Here is an 8,371-nt window from a genome sequence, read left to right on the forward strand (position 1 = left end):
TCTGGAAACAATAGCAGGCTCTTTAGTCCCAGCTGAAGGAACAAGTCTTTCATTCTCTGCAATCCCATCTGGGGATGTTATTGGTGCTATTACAGTTAAAGAAATCCATGCATTGCAGAACAGTTAAAAATCTGAAACACTGGTCTGTAGAATGAAAGAGTGACTCAGGATGTTTTGATCAACCCAATCAACATGAAGCAATCTAAGTACCTATGGACGTTCATGTCAGCAAGCCCAGCACAGCCCCAGCAAGCCACACAGGACGCTTCTGTTTATGCATCCCACAGATGTGGTCCAAAAAAGACAAATGGTACTGATTGGAGTCTGTTTCGTTAAAAACTGACTCTGAAGGAGTTTCTCATAGAGAAAGATCCGAACCATTTTGAGCTTCGGAGAATTTGGTTGGACCTGGAGGAGGGGCTGGCTTGAGAGAGAGGGAAGTGAGCAGGGAACCTTCCAGCACTTTGCAAAGCCCAGGGCAAGTGGGTTTCCTCCTCTTCCCTCCCGCTCACCAGCTCTCTCCTTCCTCTTCCTCCAGGGCTGGCAGGGCAGAGGTGACACCAGTGGGCGTCAGCTGACCCTGTTCCTTCCATGCCCAAGTCTTCCCTCATTCTGGGTGCCCTGCCCACCCCTCTCCCACCTCTTCAAACACTTCACGCCCTCCCTTCTCCTCGTTAAAAAAATCCCAGTAGCTTACTATGGAGCAAATGAGCCATCTCCAGTTGCCTTGCCGTGCTCACCCTAATGGTACTGACTGTGTTTTACAGCAAAAATAGAATCTTCAGCCATCATCACTAAGTACGTGCTCATGGGGTTCAGTGCTGGGGGAGGCTATGGAAAATTGAGACATCAGGCAATTCCAGCCAGCCTATTCCCAGGTCTCCAGTACCACTGGAAACACGCTCCCCTGGGTTCAGAAAGCACAAGACTATTTCTTAGAGATCTTCACGTAATTAGAACTCGCTCTATCCCTTCATTTCCCAGCTCCTCATTTATCATCCTAACCAGATCTATTTTAAAACAAAGGTAAGTGTAACCTAAAAACTACACACAGCAAAATATCACTGGTGTGATCACAATATTCTCCTGTGCTGTTGCACGAGGTGCTACCCTGAGAAGATTGAGAATGCATTCTTCTAAAATTCTGGTAAATATTTTATTGTCGACATGCGACTATAGTTTCTTCTGGAAGTTGCTGGGCTGCAAGCCCAGATAGGTATCCCTAGAAAAGGTGCTCATAACTTTCTATCTCCACAAAATATATGCCTGCTGTTGAGAGTAGGGAGATAAAGTCATCTCTTTAGTGCGGCTTTGACTATAGCCCCGGCTGCCCCCTGGATCCAGTTGGCCTGAGAGCATCATGATTTGTAACAAATATGAAACTATGTGAGCTCATCTGTTCTTCAGTTTTCTTTAATTGACACTTCCACTCCTCTCGATGTCCCTCCGCAGACCCTGGGATGACACAGAAGCGGGCGCTCGTTGTCCTTTAAGTGGATGAACGAGGCCCTTTGTCTGAAGTCCCTGTCTCCTGTGTGCTGCGTGTGCTCTTTTTCTGCGGCATGACGACACCGCAGATGAGGAGAGCCACAAAGGGCAGCGAGTGTCTCGGAACTCTGTGGTTCCATTGTCTCCGCGGCGCTGGGCTGCAGTCAAGCCAGGCTCACCCTTGCAGGGCTGCACCAAGGGACGAGATGTGACGGTGACAGACGATGGCCAAGGCCATCTTACCGAGTGCCAGGCACGGGCCTCGGCACCTGCTGTGCTCTGTCTGGGGAAGCGGGCACAGAGATGAAGCGGCCCCACGGCGGTCCCTCCCCAAGAAAGGGGTGGACCTGGGACCGGAGCCAGCACAGGGGACCCATGGCCCCCGTCGGAGCCGTCCAGTGCCCCTCAGCGCCTGTCCTCCTTCTCGTTTTCCCAGATAGCTGGTTTCGTATAAGTGTTTTTGTATGTTTTTTATTTGTTTGTTTGCTTGTTTTGAGACGGAGTTTTGCTCCTGTTGCCCAGGCTGGAGCGCAATGGCACGATCTCAGGTCACCGCAACCTCCGCCTCCCGGGTTCAAGCGATTCTCCTGCCTCAGCATCCTGAGTAGCTGGGATTACAGGCATGCAGCACCACACCCGGCTAATTTTGTATTTTTAGTAGTACAGGGTTTCACCATATTGGCCAGGCTGGTCTCAAACTCCCAACCTCAGGTGATCAGCCCGCCTCGGCCTCCCAAAGTGCTGGGATTACAGGCGTGAACCACCGTGCCTGGCTCGTATAAGTGTTTTTTAAACAACTCCCTGGAGTAAAGATTTCCTGCTTTCATGATGCTAACTCAGGAACCCCATGCCGACCCCTCCATCGTGAGCTATAGTAAGGAAACAGGCCGTTTTCTCTAATCCCCAAACAGTCTTAACTCGAATGTTGCTGGCCTCTCGACCATGAAGCAACAGTGGCAAGTGCATGTTGGGAGGTAGTCCAAAGTAGATTTGCAGGGATGTTTCCCTCCCTGCTCCAACAGGACATCCCTATGGGGTGAGGTACAGAGAGGGGCACACCCAGCCCAGCTCCCTCCACTGACCCCAGGCCCTGAGGCAGGCACCATCCAGAAGGGAGCCATGTCTGCCTTGAACTGGCTATGAGTTGGTTGTTGCCACTCCTACCTGAGTGATGGGGGACCCCTCCCAAAGAGTTTCCCCGCCTTTATCTACAAGACTGACAAAGCAGTTGTGTCCAGTCAGTGATGAATGTGAGACCTCGGAAATTAAGGTGAGTCTTCTTATTGATGTTACTAGAAGGCGGGAGGGGCTGTGGGAAGCTGATCTCTTGCACAGATCTACAGGGGCGGAGAGGTGAGCTAAAGTCCAGAGCTTGCTCAGAGAGGGCAGTGGGTGTTGGAGGGGGACTGGGGTTCTCACGCCCCAGGGACCAGGCATCCCCCTCTCCATGAATGCTGTGGCCATGCAAATTAGGCTCTCGTTTGCAAAAGGGAAAGATTTTTTCAAAACATTTGAGATGATGTGTGCTGGGGGAGTTCTGTATATCTATTCTTTCGATGAAGGAAATAAAAGCAAAATCCTCCTTGCGTCCACTCCTACAAAGAACATTGTAAATCACAGAATTTCAGCCTCAGTCATGTGTATATTGGCTGTTTTTAATTATGGCAAAGAAGGTATTGACCACAGAAAAAATATCTTTCTAAAATCACAGTGGGAAATGAGGGTGAGTTCTCACTCTGCATGACACTGTGGGCAGTGGGCTGGAAGGGCTGTGGCCCGGGCCTCTTTCTGTTCACGGCATGTCTGCGGATCCTTTTCACATCTGTAGGATCTGTAGTTATATCCCTTCTTTCATTCCTGGTCTTGATAATTTGTTATTTTTTTTTTCTTGATCAATCTTGCTAAGGGTTGCTTAATCTAATCTTATTTTTAAAGAATCAGCTTCGGACCTTGTTAATCCTCCCTATTGTCCTATTTTGCTGATTTCTGCTGTGGTCATTATCCATCAAAGGTTTTAAATCTATGGTCCATGGAACCCTCAAGGTCCTAAATCCACTTCCTGGGAGGCTCCTGAAGTCCTACCTGGTCTCCCACTGGCCCCACAGCACTGGGACAGGCCCTTTGCATACTGGTTAGGAACTTGTACTCAGGCCAACCTGGGCATGAGCCCAGCTGTAAAACTAAATAGGTGTGAGGTGAATCTGTCAGTTGCTTTACCCTCAGAGACTCATTTTCTTTTCTTTTTTTTTTTTTTTTTTGAGATGAAGTCTTGCTCTTGTCACCCAGGCTGGAGTGCAATGGCACTATCTCGGCTCACTGCAACCTCCGCCTCCGGGGTTCAAGCGATTCTCCTGACTCAGCCTCCCAAGTAGCTGGGATTACAGGTGCCTGCCACTATGCTCAGCTAATTTTTGTATTTTTAGTAGAGACAGGGTTTCACCATGTTGGCCAGTCTGGTCTGAAACTCCTGACCTCAGGCGTCCCCCGACCTTGGTCTCCCAAAGTGCTGGGATTACAGGCGTGAGCCAATGCGCCCAGCCAGAGACTCATTTTCTATACCTGTAAAGGCAAAGAAGGTTGCTGTGAGGCTCAAGCTTGCCCATGCATGCAAAGTAGTCAGCACCAGCATCTCGACGCTCTACCTGTTGGTGGATATGTGAGAAGCCACCTCCAGGACTTATGCAGATGTTATGAATTTTGAGTATGATGCATAATGATTAAATCAAGCTAATTAATCTATCCATCACTTCAAAAGTTTGACATTTTTGTGATGAGAACGTTTGAGATTTTCTCTCTTAGTGATATGGAAATGTACAGTCTGTGTCCTTTTAATTCGGTGGCCTCCCCCTAGAAGGGAAAGGAAGATAACTGCTGAGTCAGCTAGAGACAGCATATGGTCATGGCTTTAGCGAAAAAAGAAGAGAAAGTTAAAAGCAAATGAAAATTGCCAAGAAGTGATCAGAAGAAGAAAAAAGAGAGAAGGTGGGGAAAAGAAAAAGAAAACTTTTTAAGAAGAGAAAGCAAGACAGAGTGTTTCTCTGTACACATGCATCAGAATGCAGACAGACGGCTGGAGCCGCAGGGCTGTGGGCCAGCAGGCAGTGGAGAACAGCCTGGCCGGGCCTGCGCCCTGCACAGGTTCATTAAGGGACTATGCCTTAGATTATCTGCCTGGCCCACAGATTCTGTCAAAAATTTCAGAGCAGGCTGGACGAGGTGGCTCAGGCCTATAATCCCCTCACTTTAGGTAGCTGAGGCGGGTGGATCACCTGAGGTCAGGAGTTCAAGACCAGCCTGGCCAACATGGCGAAACCCTGTTTCTACTAAAAATACAAAAATTAGCCAGACATGATGGTGGGCACCTGTAATCCCAGCTACTTGGGGGGCTGAGGCAGGAGAATCACTTGAACTCAGGAGGCTGAGGTTGCAGTGAGCCAAGATCGCGCCATTGCACCCCAGCCCGGGTAACAGAGTGGGACTCTGTCTCAAAAACAAAAACAAACAAAATTTCAGAGCAGATACAAAGGCAAAAATAAGAGATTGTGGGGAGCAAATAAAATCTTTGCAATCTTAGGTTACAGACTTCAGTCCTGGCTTGAACATTTCTGACTAGTTCGGCAAATTCTTTCATCTCCACATTCTTGTAGGTAGAAATAAAAAGGTTGAACTAATTAATTTTTCAAATTTCAATAAAAACTCTTCTATTTTTATGCTTCCAAAAGTTATGTGTTTCTGTGCATGCTTGCGTATGTGTGCACGAGTGTGTTTGTGCGCATGTGTACATTTGTGTACGTGTGTGTTTGTGTATGTGTGCTGTGTGTGCACCTAAGTGGTGGGAAGAAGCTGAGGATCTTATCTTGCTATCATATTCCATAAGTGGCCTTAAAAAGCAACTGAAACCACAGACCACGTTCTGGGTTGGATCTTGTCCCCAACACCCCCAAATTAATATTAATATATCAAAGCTCTAAATGCACTGTGACTATATTTGCAGAGAGTGCCTTTAAGGAGGTAATTTTAAGGTTAAACGGGCACATACGTGAGGGCTGTGATCCAACAGAACTGGCATCCCTGTAGGAGAAGGAAGAGATACCAAGGCTCTATGAGGACGCAGTGTGGGAGGCGGCCGTCTGCAAGCTAGGAAAGAGGCCTCACCAGGGACTAGCCTTGCCGGCATCTTGATTCTGAACATCCAGCCTCCAGAACTATAAGAAAATAAGTATCTGTTTTTTAAGCCGCCCAGTGTGTGGTATTCTGTTAAATTGGCCCAAGTAAACAAATACAGATCAATGGCTGTCCTAAAGAACCGCTCAATATTGACTGTCCTCAAACCAAAGTCATTGCTCTCGGCAGACCTGGATACACCTTTGGACATGCTGACCCATTAGATTACGTAAGGAACAGTTCCAGTTAGTTTTGTGTCTCAGATACCCTTCATCCTGTAGAGGCAGGGTAAATATTTTTTGAATGAATAATAACTGAACAATTCTGGGCCTGCTGGCATACTATCCTGCTCAAAGTGAAATACTCAACAGATACTTGTTATAATTTCCTCGTAAAATCAGGTGTTGAGCTCCATGCACTGTCTGGGGTTGGCTTTTCAGGACACGCCCATGCATCTGCAGTTCTCAGAGCCTGCCTCCCGCTCTGGTGACAGGATGGCATCAGGAGTGGCATCAGGAGTGGCATCGGGAGTGGCATGTGCTGTGTTGTAGAAGCTTGTATCTGGGAGGCTCTCATAATTATGCTGACAGAGGTAGACGAGGGAAGACCTAGGACACAGTCATCAAGGGCGGGGACTCCGGATGAATGAGATGTGGGGCAAGGCCCCCCAGAAGTGGAGTGGCCAGCACTCCCAATTCTATGAGCTGGACGGTGCCTAGGCTGATGACATGGGGTCACTTTAGTTATTTTTGGTCATTGCATCCTACCCTCCCTGCCGTGAAAACACATGGCCAGGAAGGGAGACATGACTACCTAGAAAAGGAGACTCTATATTGACAGAGTCGCATTGCAGGGTCTCTTGTGAGAGGACACAGTTGGTTAAATCCACCTTCAATAAAATCTGCCTGAAGTATTTCCTGAGCCTGGTCGTGTATTTCTTGCCATATAGCAATGGCTCCCAACCTGGTGGCACATCAGCCCTTTCCCAGATCTACTGAATTAGTATCCCTAGGTCTGAGGTCTGGAATATCTGTTTCTTAAAACACTTCCCATCCATTTCAGATGCAGCTAACCCAGCCTTTACAGCAGGCACTAGGAGCCAACATGGTATGGATGAAACCAGCAGTTTGATTGTTCTAGGGTCTCTTAGTTCTGATACAGGAAGTACTGATAGATAAACCTACACTGAAGAAGGTTCTTTGGCTTCCCTCAATACTTTTTTTCCCTTCAATAATTTTTGAGACTAGAAAGAGGTCACGAGACCAAACATTTAAGGACTGATGTCGAATTGTCTGAGGTACTAGGGCAGTACTTGCTAAATATTTGAGCAGATCTAAAACTGCTTCCTGAAGATTCCCTACTGTATTTTGTAGGTTTCCATCCACACCACCTCCATAAGGTGGGATGGTCCAGTTCCAGCAAGGATGTCGCTGATAATGACCCCACTGGCTTTCATCAAGAGCTAATAGTAATGTAAAGAACATTTAGGCATCTTTGGCCGGGCGCAGTGGCTCATGCCTGTAATCCCAGCACTTTGGGAGGCCGAGGAGGGTGGATCACGAGGTCAGGAGATCGAGACCATCCTGGCTAACACAGTGAAACTCTGTCTCTACTGAAAATACAAAAAAATTAGCCGGGCATGGTGGCTGACACCTGTAGTCCCAGCTACTGGGGAGGCTGAAGCAGGAGAATGGTGTGAACCCAGGAGGCAGAGCTTGCAGTGAGCCGAGATCACGCCACTGCACTCCAGCCTGGGTGACAGAGTGAGACTCCGTTTCAAAAAATAAAAAAACAACAAGAACACTTAGGCATCTTCGAGAAGCTGCATTTAAGGATACTACTATCCATTGTGTTGTATATAATCCAAATACACACATAACAATTTTCTCCAAGAAGTGTTTCTTGTTATTAGATATTGAGATTATATGACTCTTACTTTAAACTTTGTCTCTGCTACCAGGAAGCTCAGAGCTAAATTTTGTGCTCATAACATAATAATTAAGTGTGAGATAAGAAGGCAAAACACAATAGACATTTTAATTTTTTAATTCCTCAGGAATATAAAAGTGTAGGTGTGCATTAAATGGTTAAAGATAAAAATCTCAGAATGCTGTAACTAGGGAGGTTTTGAATGTGCACAAGAGTGCCAGAGTTTTTTGAGTAGTAAAGACTTTTTTGAAATAGTAAAAATTACAGTTAACTTTGAGCTGGGGGAACGCTTCGCATATTGCCTCATAATCCTCACCAGGGTCACCTATGTTCAACTATCCCCACAGACAGAAGAGGAAACAGACATGGAAGTTTAATGAAAGATGTGGATAAATGACAGCATCAGTGTGGCAACTCCAGCCTCTAGGGCACCAAAACCCACCTTGAACCATGGTGCGGTACCTTCTCCCACACAATGCTGAGGGGCGCTCTGACTCCAAGCCAGACCAAGGGGCCTCCACTACAGGCCATGGGAGCAGCTGTGCCCTTACCCAGGCAGCATCTGGACAGAGGCCATGCTGGGGAACCACATCAATCCAGGTTTCCCAGAGGTCACAAAGGCCTGTGTGTGCATTTCTGTTGATGCAAAAGTGTCCTTGCTTACTAGAGAGACTGTTATTTTCAGACTTTCTTTGAATGATATACCACGGTTGGCTGAAAAGCAGAGATCCCACAGATCACCCACCCTAAACTGAACCGCGTGATTTCCAGGGAAACCCCACAACTAATG

Source organism: Homo sapiens, chromosome 6 (assembly GCF_000001405.40).
Source record: "Homo sapiens chromosome 6, GRCh38.p14 Primary Assembly".
In the NCBI taxonomy this organism is placed as follows: domain Eukaryota; kingdom Metazoa; phylum Chordata; class Mammalia; order Primates; family Hominidae; genus Homo; species Homo sapiens.